At 47.1% G+C, this 16,873-nt stretch overlaps 1 protein-coding gene and 1 long non-coding RNA gene across 8 annotated transcripts in view, besides 1 other annotated feature; one reads left to right on the top strand and one right to left on the bottom strand.

The window, feature by feature from the left end:
* ELMO2 (engulfment and cell motility 2) overlaps nucleotides 1–15,726 on the top strand; it is a 40,566-nt gene extending 24,840 nt beyond the window's left edge. For all 7 annotated transcript variants that reach the window (NM_182764.3, XM_006723854.4, XM_005260496.4 and 4 more), the window contains 12 exons: nucleotides 1,473–1,523; nucleotides 5,986–6,108; nucleotides 6,406–6,540; nucleotides 7,136–7,240; nucleotides 7,336–7,444; nucleotides 8,241–8,377; nucleotides 9,807–9,970; nucleotides 10,085–10,197; nucleotides 10,317–10,424; nucleotides 11,251–11,333; nucleotides 12,808–12,885; nucleotides 14,216–15,726. In NM_182764.3, coding sequence (NP_877496.1) covers nucleotides 1,473–1,523; nucleotides 5,986–6,108; nucleotides 6,406–6,540; nucleotides 7,136–7,240; nucleotides 7,336–7,444; nucleotides 8,241–8,377; nucleotides 9,807–9,970; nucleotides 10,085–10,197; nucleotides 10,317–10,424; nucleotides 11,251–11,333; nucleotides 12,808–12,885; nucleotides 14,216–14,416 — 1,407 coding nt within the window. In that variant the 3' untranslated portion in view covers nucleotides 14,417–15,726. The remainder of the gene's footprint in view (nucleotides 1–1,472; nucleotides 1,524–5,985; nucleotides 6,109–6,405; nucleotides 6,541–7,135; nucleotides 7,241–7,335; nucleotides 7,445–8,240; nucleotides 8,378–9,806; nucleotides 9,971–10,084; nucleotides 10,198–10,316; nucleotides 10,425–11,250; nucleotides 11,334–12,807; nucleotides 12,886–14,215) is intronic.
* LOC124904917 (uncharacterized) overlaps nucleotides 1–16,873 on the bottom strand; it is a 33,481-nt gene that overhangs the window by 16,244 nt on the left and 364 nt on the right. The gene's annotated exons all lie outside the window — the stretch shown is intronic.
* Nucleotides 12,957–13,186: an enhancer, noted in NCBI's record as "active region_17971". NCBI's record gives its function as "activates an Ori minimal core promoter by ATAC-STARR-seq in GM12878 lymphoblastoid cells {active_cell/tissue: GM12878}" and the evidence as "EXISTENCE:reporter gene assay evidence [ECO:0000049][PMID:35858748]".

Here is a 16,873-nt window from a genome sequence, read left to right as displayed (position 1 = left end):
ATTTGGATGCTCATTTCTTCATTATAGGGAGCTTTAGAGAGGTCAGCTTTGCGAGGAGATGAAAGGGGATAAGTGCCTCCCCCTGACACCACAGAGAAGCTTTTGGTCTAAGACCTTTATATTCTAGCTGCAGACCACTGTCAATTACCCACCTTATGAGTTGTCCACAGCAAGATTTAATCTCAGTCGACCTCCTATAGTTACCAGAGAAGTTTCTAGGCCACTGTCCTCCTCTGCTAGCCAGTATGTATTCAGAGAATGCAAAGTAAAATTTAATGTTCCTGGCAGCATTAGCCATTTGGAATATGGCTAGAAATCCAGAAGTGTGACAGAGGGGCCTTTCAGCTCTGAGAAAAATGACACAGAGCTCACAGATACTACTCCATAGGAGAGGTGTGACAGCTCCCTCAGGCCCACTGATTTAGGATTCTCTATAAAATTAAATGAAGGCAGCAGTTTAGAAAATGAAGTCATGGTAATTAACATCAGTAAGAAGTGATGGTCGACACTGGAAGGAGGAGACAAGAATTATGAAAAGCTGTCAGAAAAATTAAAGGCATTGTAATCTGGGACCATTTTGTTTATGGGAAAATAGCTTCACATCTCAGTAGCTCCTCAGGGTATCACAGTGTCACAACACAGAATAATCACTGATGTTCTTTTTGATGAAGCCGACTCCTTAGCAGTGATTAAATTATCACTGTAGTCACTTCAGAAATAAATGTATATAATATGTCTTTAAAAGATTTGCATAAGAATGGTCAAAATAATGATTCTGAGAGAACCCTTAAAGCTTTGCTCCCTGGAAGATTCATTTATGTAGGAAACTTGATTTCCTGGGTGGGCTAAATAAATAAAGCATAACTATCAAAGTCTGGATCAAATATTATAAAAAAGGTGAGCCTGTTATAAAAAATTACCCAAAACACCAGACTCATTGTTCTCTAAGCCAGTTAGAACGGAATCCTAGACTACTTACTGTTGTAGAGCGTCCAGACCCCAGCCGTCTGCTGTAGGGTGGGAGGGGGTTGCTGGACCAAAGCCCTTCCTTGTTTGGAGTCAGTGCTTCACTAGAGTTCCTTCTAGCCTTAGCAGTGGGGTCTACCTGGCACGATGCATGTGGCTTAGAAACCATCACACTGCTCTGTGTCCATGTGCAATGTCCTTGTGACACAAGCGTCTCATCTTCAAGCAGTCCTCATCTCTCTTTGAAGACAGTGGAGTTGATTGTGCCATTAGGAAAGGAAATCCTATTTGAATTAATTTGCACTCACAAAAATAGGGAATGTTGCAGAGTGTAAAATACATCTGATGGTCAGTGGATTTTCGTTCATTCACCCACTTTTCATTTGGGAGGAAAAAAATTTAAGAAAGCAAAAAAGGCCCAGAATTTTGACATCACCTTCCTCTCGATAGTAGTCACAGGTGTGTGCCTGCCACCCTGCCTTATATTTGCTTATTTTCCTCCACAGGATATGGCAAATGCATTTGCACAGAAGCATCTCCGGTCTATAATCCTGAATGTGAGTTCCTGGAACATGCTGTATTTTATTACTATTAACAACAATTATTACTGTTATTGTTAATATATTATTATTGAAATTATTAATGAGTGAGGAGGACACACAGAGGAACCTTATCAATAGGTAAATACCTCTTGAACTGAATAGCTTTTTCCCGCGATCCTCTGTGAGCAGAGTTGCCTCTAGGCAGCCATCTCACCAGCAATTGCAGTGCGTCCAGGGAGGGACCAAGGCCAGCTCTACTGTTTGTTGCCCTGCAACTCCAGAATTTTTATCCAGAGGGAATATGTTAAAATAGGCACAAAGGGGGAAAATAACTCATCCAACTGACACTGATTAAAAATCTGAATTGTGTAGGGCACTGACAGAACTAAGTAAGCAAGTGTATTTGCTCTCAAAGACCTTCTGGCCTGGTAGGAAAGACTAGTGATCATAGTGGGGTGTGATCTGGGTTTGTGGTCTAGGAAAGGATGGAGGAGGAACAGTGATTTCTGCCTTGAAGAAGAGTGTTTCCGGAAACTTTTAGAGGAATGTCTTCAGGTGACCCTTAGAGGATGAGTAGGCAGACCGGGAATAACAGGAATTTCAGTCAGAGGGCAGCCAGAACCCAGAAGGAGTGTGTGATTAGGCACAGAGCAAGGAGCAAGTAGATGAGGAGGCTAGAGAGGTAGCGAGGACCAGATCAGGAAAGGTTAGTCTCATTCCTAAGGACAGCTGAGGGCATTTAATTGAGCTTGTGAAGTAACCAGATTTGCATTTTAGAAAGAGCACATGAAAGACATGTGTTTGCTAAGGGGTACCTGAGGGAGGAGAGCAGAGCAGGAGCTGGCAGGGGGATCTGGAAAGAGGTATAAATCCCTGTTACCACCTGTGGGGTGGAGTAGGGCTGATGTTGGGAGGTGGGGCCGGTGGGAGTGGAGGAGGAGAGCCAAGGATCTGAATTAAAAGGAGGCAACTTTGGCCGGACGTGGTGGCTCACACCTGTAATCCCAGCATTTTGGGAGGCTGAGGCGGGTGGATTGCCTGAGGTCAGGAGTTCGAGACCAGCCTGACCGACATGGTGAAACCTTGTCTTTACTAAAAATACAAAAATTAGCCGGGCGTGGTGATAGGCGCCTGTAATCCCAGCTACTCAGGAGGCTGAGGCAGGAGAATTGCTTGAAACCCGGGAGGTGGAGGTTGCAGTGAGCCGAGACCAGGCCATTGCGCTCTAGCCTGGACAACAAGAGCGAAACTCTGTCTCAAAAAAAAAGGAGGCAACTTTATCAACTGTCAGAAACAAGGGAAACCTGGGAGACCACAGTGAAGGGAATAAAATGAAAAATTAGAAGTCAAGTTTAAGACTTAAGCTAAACATGGACTTTGGAGTCTGCCATTTTCCAATCTTTGATCTTGAGCATTTCACATAACTTCTCTGGACTTCAGTTTGCTCATCTGGATATGAGGACTAAGTGAGCTAATATAATACTGTGCTTAGCAGGGTGTCTGGCACTCAGTAAGCACTTTGCTCGTATTGGCAGAACAGGATGCAGAGGTGATAGGATTGAAGAAGTAAGCTCTGAGCACTTGTGAAGCTGAGCAGTCAGCTGCTCTAAAATGCAGAGTCTGCCAGACTTCACCTTGCAGAACCAGCTTCTCCCTGCTGGCTGCTTCCCTGGTCACACCCAGCTACCAGCCTGGCAGGAGGGGCCCCAAGCCCACAAGTGACAGGAGTACACAGGTTCCCACACATTCCTGCCTACACTCCTGAGCAGCTGTCCTGGTCACCCTCTTCTGCATGTGTGGGGATGAGTGCGCCCTTCTGAAGGAAATTTAATTATGTTTGAGACTTACTATTTAATCGGGTTAGAAGTTCAACTCATTTCTGGACAAACCTTGTGAACAAGTAAAGATTTCACTATAGAAGGCAGTTCAGCATCAGGACTCAGGACTTAAGTGGCCTGGCAGGAAATGGCTAATGCATGGTCACTGAAGTCCAGGGATTTCACTGAGTCAAGCCAGAGAACTAAGACCCTGAGATACTTGACAGTCAAGTGAGACTTCAGGTAAAACCTCAAACTGTCACTCATCAGACTGGAGCTGTACTTCTTTAAGCCATTGATGCTAGGATAATTAATTACCTTCCTGCCCTGATGTTTCTTAAGTTGGAGAAAGAGAATTAAAGAGAATGAAAATCAGAATCACATTAACTTCCACCTCTATTCAAAGCTGTTTTATAAATTAGGGAGAAGAGTGAGGAGAGAGGAATAGGATAGACGAAGGTAGAGAGAGGGAGCAGTGGAGAAGAAAACCTCAGAGTGAGGCAAAGGAAGAGGTGTGAAGGGGAAAAGAAGTGGCGATGGCAGGGAAGAGCCCCTGGCCATGAGAGAGACTGGGGGGAGTGGGAAGGAAGGGAAGTTATGGGGCAGGGGGCACAGAGCAGAGAACAAGAGAGTAAGGCTAGAGAGATGAAAGAAACAGTGAGACTGAGCTAAGAAGAGCGATCTCACGCTTAAGAGACAGAGGGCGTGCCTGTGACAGGGCGGGAGCTACAGGACTGGACATGATCACCGATTCAGGGGGAGGGAGGGATGCAGGCAGAGGCCTAACTCCAGCATGTTAGCATGTGCTATGGAAGTGCTGTCCACAATGGTGGCCACCAGTCATGTGTAGTACTTTAAATAAGTCTGTTGTGGCTGAGGACCTAATTTGTAATTTTAATTTCATTTTAAATTTAAATATCCGTATGTGGCTCATGGCTGCTGTATTAGGAAGTGTAGATCTAGAGAAACAGCTAGAAAAAGGAGAGAGCACTGGAGTCACAGTAGGGGAAGAGGTCTAGAGCAGGACCGTCCAGTGGACATAGAACCCAAACCATGCACATGATTTTAAACATTTTAGTAGCAGCATGAAAAAGGAATAGGGACATTAAGTTCAATAATATATTTTATTCAGCCCATGATATCGAAAACGTTACCATTTCAACAAGTAATAAATATGAAATATTATTAATAAGACATTTTACATTTTCTTTTTTCCTACTAAGGCTTCAAGATCCGGTATGCATTTACACTCACAGCACCTCTCAGTTTGGCCTAACATTTCATGGGCCTGGGGGCTACCAAACTGGACCTCACAGGTCTAAAGAGATTGATCTAGAGTCAGAGCAAACTCTAGGGAGAGCTGATCCAAAGTTAGAAGGAGCTTTAAAAAGATACTGAGTCAGATACCTCTCTAAAGTCAGAGCGCTCTAGAGCATTGCTATTCAGTAGAACTCTGTTAATGGAAGTGTTCCGTATCTGCATTGCTGTAGCCGCTAGCCACGGTGACTACTAAGCACTTAAAATGTGGCTGGTGCAACTAAGGAACCAAATTTTCAACTTAAATTTGTTTTAACTGATTTAAATGCAAATAGCTGCATATGGCTAGTGGCTGCTATACTGGACAGCACAGCCCTAGAGACAGAGCTACTGAGTAGGGAAATTGAAGGACATAGTGGTGGTACATGTGGAAAATGGAGGAGAGCCTCATTTGGGCAAGAAAGAACCAAGAGGGACAGGATTCATAATGGTGGGTGAGACAGAGGGAGTGACAAATACAAGGGAGCAAGAAGGGAAGCAGGATATTGTGGGAGTGAGGACAGGATGGTGAGAGACAGGAATGTAATCAAGGGTTGATCAGCTAGGACAGACCGAGGGAGACATAGCATGCAAGAGAAAGACAGAGACAGAACATGAGACAGGACCAGGGGACCTAAAGTGGGGTGTGGGCATCAGAGGGACAAAGGAGGAGGTGATGAACCGACAGGGGAATGTGGGGGCACAGAGACAGTGGGGAGGGAGAGTCAGGAGGGAGAGGGACATGGTGTGGGCGGCACAGGGAGCAGGGACAGAGTGATAGGAGAGAGGAGAGGACAAGTGAGAGGAAGGAAGGAAGGAGAGGGCCGTGGGAGGGAGCTGGTAGGAGAGTGAACTGTTCCTCCTTTGTGTTGCTATCTCAGTATCATTGAAAGAAAATGGCCTTTCCCAAAGCCTCTCTGCTGGGTGAAGCCATCCAAAACATTTTATTTTTCTAAGGGAAAAACAACTCTGCCTCCATGCACACCATCTATTGTTTTGCATTTAGTAGGCCTGTGAAATGCCTGATTGGAGGAAGGTCCAGCCCCCAATGTTCTGTATCATAGCCTTGATGGAGTAGCCTCCCCCATTTCTGGTGTGGTTGGGTATAGCCCCTGCCTTCACTCTGCTTCCCCTGCCCAGGGGAATGCAGAGGAAGGGATGGCGCCTTTCAGGCCTGCAGTGAGTCATCTCTGCCTGAACCAAGCCCATTCATGCTCCATCGCCTTCTAGAATATGAAGTCCTCGTGTGTGGGAGGAAAGCTCTGTTCCCTTCCCAACATACATTCCTTTTCCTTAGCATGGATGTGGCCCTTCATTAAAAGAGATCAGTTCAGTCCCCTGCTCCCTGCCTGTGCTTTTTCTAGCATGTGATCCGAGGGAACCGCCCCATCAAAACTGAGATGGCCCATCAGCTATATGTCCTTCAAGTCCTAACCTTTAACCTTCTGGAAGAAAGGATGATGACCAAGATGGACCCCAATGACCAGGTAGGTGCTAAGTGGGGCAGCTGTTTTCTCATGGCTGTGGTGCAGTCCAGCCTTAGTCTATGTGCCAGGCACTGTGCTTGGTCTTTGTCTGCAGAAGTAGTTTGCATCTGCCCTAGAAAATCTAGCATGATCTGCACCATGAGCCAAGCCCATTTCTGTCCTGCTGTGGTAGAGGTGATGCCTCCTAAGGGATTGATTGGGGCCAAAGTTTGGCCCAGAAAAGCCTGACCCACTGTTTCTTTTCCTTGCTCCCTTGGTTAGCCGATTCACCTGCTGACTGTCTGTTTCACCTCGCAGGCTCAAAGGGACATCATATTTGAACTGAGGAGGATTGCATTTGACGCAGAGTCTGATCCTAGCAATGCCCCTGGGAGTGGGACCGAAAAACGCAAAGCCATGTACACAAAGGACTACAAAATGCTGGGATTTACCGTAAGTACCTCAGAGCATAGACGGTGGTAGGCCCTCTCCCCTGATGGGAAGTCAATGGTCCCACCCAGACAGAGCTCTGACAACCAACCCCATGGTGGCCCTGGAATAGATGACAGTTAGGAAGCTGGTGGAGCTTTAATGCTTGCTTTGCTTTGTTGATGGTGAGTCTGTGAGTTTATGTGCAAAGTTTGGCCCTGTGAAACGAATCCATCTGTAGGGGGGTTGCGGTCAGCTAGAGTGGGTAGAGAGGGGACCTGTCCTCTTACCCAAACTGCTAGGTTCTTTGCAAAGCTAGTGTGAATATTTTGTGATAGAGTAGGGCTTGAGGATGGGGTTAACTGGAAGAAGTATTTCTTGCGTACCTACTCAGTGTGCAGCAGCATGTGAAGTAGGTTCTGGGATGCATGGTGAGGCAGCCACCGTCCAGCACTCAAGAGCTCACAGTTCAGTGGTGGTGATGGGTGTGAAAAGAGCTAGGACAGAGGTGGGTGCTGAGTGGTAGCAGCATCAAGAGGAGAGGCGAGAGGGCATCCCCTCAGGTCCCTGCATACACGGAGACTGCCGCATCTCAAATTGGGTGTCTTTATTTCTCTAGAACCACATCAATCCAGCCATGGACTTTACCCAGACTCCTCCTGGAATGCTGGCCTTGGACAACATGCTGTACTTGGCTAAAGTCCACCAGGACACCTACATCCGGGTAAAGGCAGGGGAGCTGGCCTTCTCAGTCCTGGTGCCACATCTCCTGCCTTCCTCCTTCATCTCCCTAATCCTCCCTTTCTCTTCCCCCGACAGATTGTCTTGGAGAACAGTAGCCGGGAAGACAAACATGAATGCCCCTTTGGCCGCAGTGCCATTGAGCTCACCAAAATGCTCTGTGAAATCCTGCAGGTTGGGGAACTACGTAAGTCTCTGCAGCTCCCTCTTCTTCAGCCATTCCTTGTCATCAAGAGCTCAGTGAGACTCAAAATTATAAACAGTTACATGTCAGTGGGGTCGGGCGTGGTGGTTCACACCTGTAATCTCAGCACTTTGGGAGACTGAGGCAGGAGGATCACTTGAGCCCAGGAGTCCAAAACCAGTCTGGGCAACATAGTGAGACCCCATCTCTAAAAAAAAAAAAAAAAAAAAAAAAAACCAAAAATTAGCCAACTGGTAGTGCATGCCTCTGGTCCCAACTACTCAGGAAGCTGAGGCAGGAGGATCACTGTGTCAGGAGGTCAAGGCTATGGTGAGCATAGTCATGCCACTGCATTCCAGCCTGGGCGACAGAGTGAGACTCTATCTTAAAAAAAAAAAAAAAAAAAAGATGTCAGTGGGACTAGACAACCTTAGGTGGGTTTTTAATTTTGTTTTTTGTTTTAAATCACTGCATCAGCTGATAATTCCATCTTATCCTTATTTATGGGAATCATGGTTGTTGCTTTGTTTGAACTGGCAATTTGAATCATATTCCAAAGCTACCCCATGCCTGTGGGTAAGGGCTGGCTGAGTCTGTAACAGGGTAGAGGGAAGGCAAGAAAATGCACCCTGGAGAAGAAAGCTAAGGACGTGAGAAACGCCCATCCCACGCTCCCTGTTAATTGCGCGCCTTAGGCTGCTTTTGTTCCTCGGGACTTTGGTGCAAAGTTTCCAGACATGAGCTCCCAGGCCCTTGTGGACAGAGGCTTCATCTTCTCCCTGTTTTTTCACTTCCACAGCAAATGAAGGACGCAATGACTACCACCCGATGTTCTTTACCCATGACCGAGCCTTTGAAGAGCTCTTTGGAATCTGCATCCAGCTGTTGAACAAGACCTGGAAGGAGATGAGGGCAACAGCAGAGGACTTCAACAAGGTCAGTGTCTCCGGGCTGCTCTGAGGCCCACGGGAGGAGACCATCACACGACAGCCTTTGACAGCTGGCTGGCACCTGGAGAATCCCTGAGCTGGAAAAGCAGCTTGGTCTGCAGAACTGAGTCACAAGACTGAGGCACTGGGGAGCCTCAGCCCCATCTGGTTGTTGCTCCCTCTGTGACCTTGAGCTTGTCTTCCACTTGGTGCCGTAGGCCCTCATTTGTCCATTGAAGTTAGCACCTGTCCCTCCCGTCCTCCAGAGAGGTCAGGAGGATAAGCATTAGAAGACTCACTGTGGTTTATTGAGTGCTTACTGTGCAGGTACTGCTGTAGTTTTGTGAACTGGGAAGGTTAGGAGAGAAGAGTGGACTGGCATGATGTGCACACCCTGGGTACTTAATCGATAGTTATCCCTCGGTGCTTTCAGTCCTCACTCTATGCAGAGCACTGTTGTGCCAGGCCCTCAAAAGCTGATCATCTAGGGGTCGAGTGTTTTGAAGTTGATCATCTCATCATAAAAAATTTGGAAAGTATAAAGAATAAAAAGTTACCTGTATTTACACCATCCAGTGACAAACATTTTTGTTTTCCTCTAGTCTTTTTTATCCCCTACAGGTTTTTCCTTCATTAGCAAGATCATACTGCGCATGCAGTGTGGTATCCTGTTGTTTTCTTTAATAGTTGTTTTAAGGGGACCAATGCATTTTTTTAAAACACCACAGCGTGCCAGAACTGCGCTTGCCTTTCTATTCTTTTGTTTGTTTTTTTGAGACAGAGTTTCACTCTTGTCACCCAGGCTGGAGTGCAGTGGCACTGTCTCGGCTCACTGCAACCTCCACCTCCGAGGTTGAAGTGATCCTTCTACTTCAGCCTCCTGAGTAGCTGGGACTACAGGCGTGAGCCACCACACCTGGCTAATTTTTGTATTTTTAGTAGAGACGGGGTTTCACCATGTTGGCCAGGCTGGTCTCAAACTCCTGACCTCAGGTGATCCGCCTGCCTCAGCCTCCCAAAGCATGAGCTACTGCAACCGGCTGGTATCTCATATTCTTTATGGCAACACCTATCAGGAGATGTGTCTTCCTTTCTCTCGGTTTAGAGATGAGTAGATGCACACCTAAGGATGTTAAGTGACTTGCTGAAGGGACAGAGTCAAGATGTGAACCCATTTCTTTCTGACTACAAAAATCCATGCTCATTTCCCCCACACCATTGACCAATTGAAATATATGGGAAATAAAGCATCTATCAGTGTCAGTCATGTGACCTGAATAACCATCTAAGAAGGTATACCTTACTCACCCAGCAGATGTCTGTAGTGCCTGCCCTGCTCAAGACCCTGGGGCAGGAAAGAGCCTTGGTGCTCCATAATAGGCCTGTCCATTTCTCAAGAGTAGTGGTGTGAGTTGGCTGGGTTCTTCTCCTCTTAGGTTATGCAAGTCGTCCGAGAGCAAATCACTCGAGCTTTGCCCTCCAAACCCAACTCTTTGGATCAGTTCAAGAGCAAATTGCGTAGCCTGAGTTACTCTGAGATTCTACGACTGCGCCAGTCTGAGAGGATGAGTCAGGATGACTTCCAGTCCCCGCCAATTGTGTAAGTTCCATCTCAGGGGAGGCTGGCGGGGGAGGTGGCTGCCAGCTCTGCTTTCCTTCCAGAGCTCCACTGTCCCCATGACCTTCCGCTCACTCCAGTGTGTGTCCACCCCAGGGAGCTGAGGGAGAAGATCCAGCCCGAGATCCTTGAGCTGATCAAGCAGCAGCGCCTGAACCGGCTCTGTGAGGGCAGCAGCTTCCGAAAGATTGGGAACCGCCGAAGGCAAGGTGAGAGGAGACGGGGCAATCCTTGGTGCCGGGAAGAGCCTGCCTGGATGGCCCCTTTTGTGCCCAGGCCTTTCCCAGTACTGTCGTTGCTCACCTGTTTGGCTTCCCTTGTGTTCCAGAACGGTTCTGGTACTGCCGGTTGGCACTGAACCACAAGGTCCTTCACTATGGTGACTTGGATGACAACCCACAAGGGGAGGTGACATTTGAATCCCTGCAGGAGAAAAGTAGGTTCATTTCTCTGTTGATGTGTCATGGTTGCTGGACTTGTCAGGAGACAGGAGTTCTAGTCCAGCTGTTTGTAGCTGATCATCTGGGCTTGTACCTGTTACCTCTCTGGACCTGTTTCCTTATCTGTCAGCGATTTCCTCTACCTGGCCTACTCGGTGGGGTGGTTTGGAGAAACAATGAGTTCACAGGTGTGAATGTATTGTGTAGACTGTAAAGGGTGGTACATGACTAAGTCGAAAGGCAGTAGTTAAGAGGAGAAGCTGTGAAGCCAGACTGCCCACATTCAAATCCTGGCTTTGCTCCTAATTAACTTGAATTCTAATTAATTGCAAGTTCTCCCCTCTGCCTTGGTTTCTTCTCCTGTAAAGTGGGAATAATAGCCACACTTTCCTCCTAAGAGGATTGCATGAGTAATGTATGCAAAGCACTTAGAAGAGTGGTTGGCAGGTAGTCAGCATAACTGTTAGCAGCTGCCACTGCTGTTGGCGATGATGGCATCATCATCGCCATTATTGTGAAGGAGAGGGGAAGGGAGTCACCAAGGTCCCGTTCCTTGGGGATATAAATCCAAGAGCCCTGAAGTGACCCTCAGTTAGCTTTGACACAGCCTCACTGGGCTGTGGTCTACAGGAGTGACCAAGACGGAGGGAACAGTACAAGGCCATCCTCCCCACCACCCTCACTGAGCTCATACAGCAGCCCTTGGAGTTTGGGGCTGAGGCTTCCTATGCATCTGCCCCAGTACCTCCCTTCCAGCACTGATGTAGGCACTGACCAGCTTGCAGCATGAACTTCCAGAGACTAATTCCCATCATTTATCAGTTCCTGTTGCAGACATTAAGGCCATTGTCACTGGGAAAGATTGTCCCCACATGAAAGAGAAAAGTGCTCTGAAACAGAACAAGGTGAGTAGAGAGGCCAGTTTGAGTAGCTGGCCCAGTGATACTTGGAGAGTGCCATTGGTGGTGGTTTTTTCCAGGTGCATTCTTGGCATCTTCCCCTCTCTATTCCTGAATGTTTTATTAAGAATTTTGAACATACACAAAAATAGATGGAACCTCTGTATACACATCACCCAGACTCAGCAACCATGGCCAGTTCTGCCCATCCACTTGTTTCTCTCCTTTATCGCTTTGAAGAAAGTCCCAAGTATCACACTGTTTCATCTGTAAATATTTAGTGTACATCGTATAGTGTATAACATTGCCACCAGTCCATTAGCACACATAACAGGAAATGAAAGTAGTTATTTCAGATCAAATATTCCACTGATGGTGACTTTCTACCAATTGTCTTATAAATGTCATAATTTCTCTACAGATATATAAATGTTTATATGGATACACACACACACACACACACACACACACACACACACACACACACCCCCATACCCATCTTGTCTAAACCAGAGTCTAAGACTGGTCTTTTAAGTTTCTTAATTCATAAGTTCCCCCGCCCCCCCATCCCCCACCATCTTTTCCTTTGCAGTTTATTAGCTGAAGAACCAGATTGCTTGTTTGGTAGTTTCCTAGCATCTGAATTTTGCTGATTGTTTCCCCGTGGTACAGTTTAACTTGTTCCTCTGTCCCAGATCTGTACATTGGAAGAGGGATCTAGAGGTTTGATCCAGTTCAGGTTTAACTTTTTTCCTGGCCAGTGTCATCAGTGGTATTATGTTCTATCAAGAGGCACATAACGTCTGGTGGTCTCTCCTTTTGTGATAATTAGCAGACTGTTGAAGCTCAGTGCCTCATTCCATCAGTCAACTAAGGTTTGCAAACTCATGATATTTTGATGCAGTCATTGCTTTTCATTTATGAGCTGAACCATGAAACTTGCCCTTATCTACTATTGGTTTCCCAGTGGTACAGTTTATATAGGAAACGAGAATAAATGCTGATTCTTCTTTTATGTACTTACTTTCAAAATAATGAGTTAGTTCCTTGGTATCATGCAACAGTGACCAATTTTGTGTGTGTGTGTGTTTTGTTTTGTTTTTTAATTGTTAAGACATTCCTATGCCAAATACAGCACGATAGAAGTTGTTAGTCATCTTGGTAATATAAAAACTTTTAGGATAACTTACAGTCATGGATCGTGACCTTCCAGGGTTCTGAGTGTTGAAAATGACTTTTTTCCAATCTTAAAAATATCACAACATCTTTGATGTGACTTGGGCAGGGAGTGGGTAAGTTAAGGTTGATTTATGCTGGGCCTCATCTCCAGCCACACTTGTGGCCGCCTAGGAGCATTGATGACATTCATCTGAATCAGCATGTTTGGTGATGATGCCGAGTCACTAGGACTTTGGCCAAGATCTTGATGTGCAGACCCCAGGCTGTTCCATCGCTCTAATTTAAACCCTTTCTCCTTCAGGAGGTGTTGGAATTGGCCTTCTCCATCCTGTATGACCCTGATGAGACCTTAAACTTCATCGCACCTAATAAATATGAGGTGAGCAGTGTGGCGCTGCCTTAGACAACAGAGCTATTTCTGTAACTCTTCAGTTGGTGGCAGGAATGAGCAAAACAGGAAAGTCCCCTGTGGTGGGTGGCTGCAGTGTATATTGAAGCCTAGGAAGGCTTTGAGAAGAAGGTGGCATTTCAATAGGATGGGAATGTCTCAAAGGAGGAGCTGTGGTTGGGGGGGCACCCAGATGAAGCAGCAGGTATCATTACATAATGCTGGACCTGAGGTTCCTCCAGGCGCATTGGGTGGCTGCCAAGGATCTGTCACACTCTGGATTGTTTATCTGTGAGCTGGGCTCTCCACATTACTCTTCAGCAGCAGCCATAGGTTGTCATTACAAAGATAAGGTCAACTAGGAATGAGTCATTTACCTGGGACTGGGAAAATTCTCCCCTTTTCAGTTTCTCTGTGGTCAGCTACCCAAGAGAACTTGACAGATCCTTCCTCCTAGGGGCTCCTGGTCACATGTTGTAATGGATCCAGTGTGGACTTTGAAGCCAGATGGAACTGGTCCTTCTGACAAGGGCCCTGTAGTTCCATCTGCAGCACTGGAAGATACTAGATATTAAATGAGTGATTGCATTTGAGACCCTATGTGCCTGGTGAGCTCTGAGAGCCATCACTGGGAACTAGAGGTGGGACTTCTGGCAGAGGAGACACTTGGGCAGGGCCTGAGCTGCCGCTAGTGGAATTTGGTTGAGAGGAAATGAAGAACAAGCAAGTGGGGAACCAGGTGAGCAACGGTGTGGAAAAAGGAAAATGGCAGCAGAGGAAGCAGGAAGAGTCAGGGAGCGGTGGGATCAGAAGGCTTCCTGGTCACCCCCTCTTAGCATGAGACCCACCAGTTCCATTTCTTTAGTATTTACTCTTTAATATGTATTGACTGGATTATTTTTAATTTTGTTTTCGGGGGGGCGGGGCACAAAATTGAGATCCCACAGTGACTTCTGTTTGTGTCTTGCTTCTTTTCACCTAATACATATTTCCCTTCTCTCGCTTCTGATTTTGGGTAACTTCAGGTAGATGATGCCCCAGTACTCAGATCTCATTTTGCTGTATTCGTTTATTGCATTTTTAGGTTCTCCTTCATATTATTGTAAGGAGTTGTAATATAAAACCCCTTATAAAAACCAGATCTCTTGAGAAAGTGAAGGATCACCTCCTAATTTATCTTTGCTATCATTCCAAATCAGTTTTGCCTATACTGATTAGTTCCAAAAGGAACTGTTGTGAGCCCCATCAGAAAAGAGACCTTGGCAGGATCTCCTGCTGACCAGGGGTCACGATGTGACATTTTGCAACTTGCTCCCCACAGTACTGCATCTGGATTGATGGCCTCAGTGCCCTTCTGGGGAAGGACATGTCCAGTGAGCTGACCAAGAGTGACCTGGACACCCTGCTGAGCATGGAGATGAAGCTGCGGCTCCTGGACCTGGAGAACATCCAGATTCCCGAAGCCCCACCCCCCATCCCCAAGGAGCCCAGCAGCTATGACTTTGTCTATCACTATGGCTGAGCCTGGAGCCAGAAACGACGGTACCCAGGAGAAGGGATTTTGGGCCCAGGAGAAACACTTACATTCTGGTGCCTTGTCTTTTGCTTGTACAGAATCTGTAGTGATTTTGGTGGCCAGTAAATGCCAGCCATTTCTCAAACCCACCTCGGACCACCCAGAGTTTCCTCTTGGTCCCTGTCTACTAAGAGTCATGAAGGCAGGGTGCTCTGCCCACTCCATCACCATGAAGCCTGGGATTGGGCCACGAGGAACAAACAGCAGATGCCCTTGCCTTCCAGTCCAAGAAACTGCTTCTTGAAATGGATTTAACAACAGCCACTCACCTTTTCCTCCTGAGCCTGCTCTCTGATCAGCTGGATCCCCACGTGAGCAACAGCTGGCCCAGGAAAGGCTGCCTGCAGAGGACAGGTGTGTTGGGCGTGTTGAGAGCCTTGAAGTGACTACCTGTATCTTAGATCTGAGTACAAGCCTGAGGCTTTTGCTTTTGTCTTTTTTGATGAGGGCTCACTCCAGCTTCATATGGTGCCAAGACGTTGCTGCTTCTGAGGTTGGCTCTAACATCTCTGGTCTTTAGAGCCACCAGATCTCTCTGGCCCATACAGATATCAGAGCAGACGGAAATTTCTCCCTGCAAGCGCTCAGTCTCATCCCAGCAAGTCAAAGACCTCCTGGCCAAGTCCTGCCCTCTTAAGTCTCCAGGAACGCTGCAGGGAAAACCCAGCTGAGGCCTGGGCCTAGACTGTGGTGAGGTCACTAGATTCTACTGCTCTTCCCCCACATTAATACCTTTTCCTTCCTCAGAGAGAAATCTCCCCTAACCTGAATTGCAGCCCCCTCCAGTTTGCTTTCCTTTGGCCTTCCAGACCCCAGGAAGTTGGCCTTCCCTTCCTAGTGCTATGGTTTCTGCCATTGGCCATGATTTCAGGGAGCTGGCTGAGGCCGGCTGAGGCCACACCTGTGCCAGTGGGGCTTCCCTGGTGCTGCAGCACTTGTAAACCACACACACAGCCTCTCTCCCTGGACATACGTTAGCACATTGGCATTCAGTATTGGTGGCCTGGCATGGTAGGTACTACCCAATGAAGAGTGTACTATATATTTTCATTACTATAGGCCATACTTATACAGACGTGTATATATATTTATATAAGATCTACCTATCTTAGGATGGAACCTTGGGGAAAAATAAAATTGAGGGGAAGTAAAAAGTATGTAACACTTCCAGTTGTGAGCCAAGATTGTAACCAGAGAGCAGCCAGGAGCTTCCTGTCAGTAACCATGTTTTCAATAAATACTCTTTCATGTACAAACTGTGGTTCCTGTTAACAGCTGTTTGTCTGTACTTGCCCCCTGCCCAATGGTGAAGATTTCACCTTGACAAGACTTGATCTCCATGTATCTGGGAGACTCTGGAGAGCTCCAGCTGGAGCCCTTAGTCACCTTCCAAGAGTCCCTTCCTCCTCATCATTCGCTCCTCCCACACATACACACACACAGACACACACCTGCTGGTTAAGAGTGTTCACAGATTGCTGCACTGGGACGAAGCGTTTTCTGCTCAACCCTGCTGGGTACAGCAAGGTAAGGCATACTGTACACCCCCATGAACACATCCTCCCTCTTCTCCCTGCCAGGGACACAGCCAGGGAACAGCTCGAGTACTTGTGCCTTACAAAGAAGACACGCTCTTTACCCTGTGTGTTGCCTGTGCATAGTGCCCAGCCTTCCAGCTGGTGTTTTAGGCTGTTGCTCCAAACCTTGGCCTTGGTAGCTGGGAGACTTAAATGAGGGTGGTGATGAAAATAGATCTCTTGCCTCTGAGAGAGAAGGGTGTGAGGACAGGCTCTTTCAAAAGGCATAGAAAGTGCATGCAATACAAGCCTGAGGACTGAATAAAGCCAAGACCTTGGGCAGTGATGGGTACCATTGTAGGTGCTTGGTAAGCACTGAATGAACTAATGCCTGCATGATGCCAGCTGGCGGCGGTGACAGCCGCAGTTTGCATAAAACACTGCTTACACTCTGGCCTTGAGCCTTCTGTTCAGAGGGGCCAGGGATCCCAGCTGAGTCACTTGTAAGGATCCATGTTTGCAGCTGGTCTTACTGCCAGAGAGCCCAGGAGGAGGCTAGAGGAGGGCGAAAGGCACAAAACTGGGTCTGAATGTGCAACCCTAGCTTGCCCTGGCCTAATGTTCTTGACTGCAAATGCTGCCCTTTTAATCCATCCCGCAAGATGAAGAAAATCTGAACTCCCTAGGCTGGCATTTTGGGGCCACTGCAACCTGCCTCTTGGCTACTTTAACCACCACAGTTACAAACAACCTGTGAGCCCCAGGCACGGCTGGAGCTTTCTCACCCTCCTTTAGGATTCTCCCATTTCCTCTATCTGGGATGCTCTCTCCCTACTCAACCTATTGAAGTTGAGATAATTCTTAGAAAGTTTCATACAGAAAATAT

The sequence above is a fragment of the Homo sapiens genome, chromosome 20, assembly GCF_000001405.40.
Source record: "Homo sapiens chromosome 20, GRCh38.p14 Primary Assembly".
Taxonomy (NCBI): Eukaryota; Metazoa; Chordata; class Mammalia; order Primates; family Hominidae; genus Homo; species Homo sapiens.
Note: the sequence above shows the minus strand (reverse complement) of the source record. Positions and strands in the feature narration are given on the sequence as shown.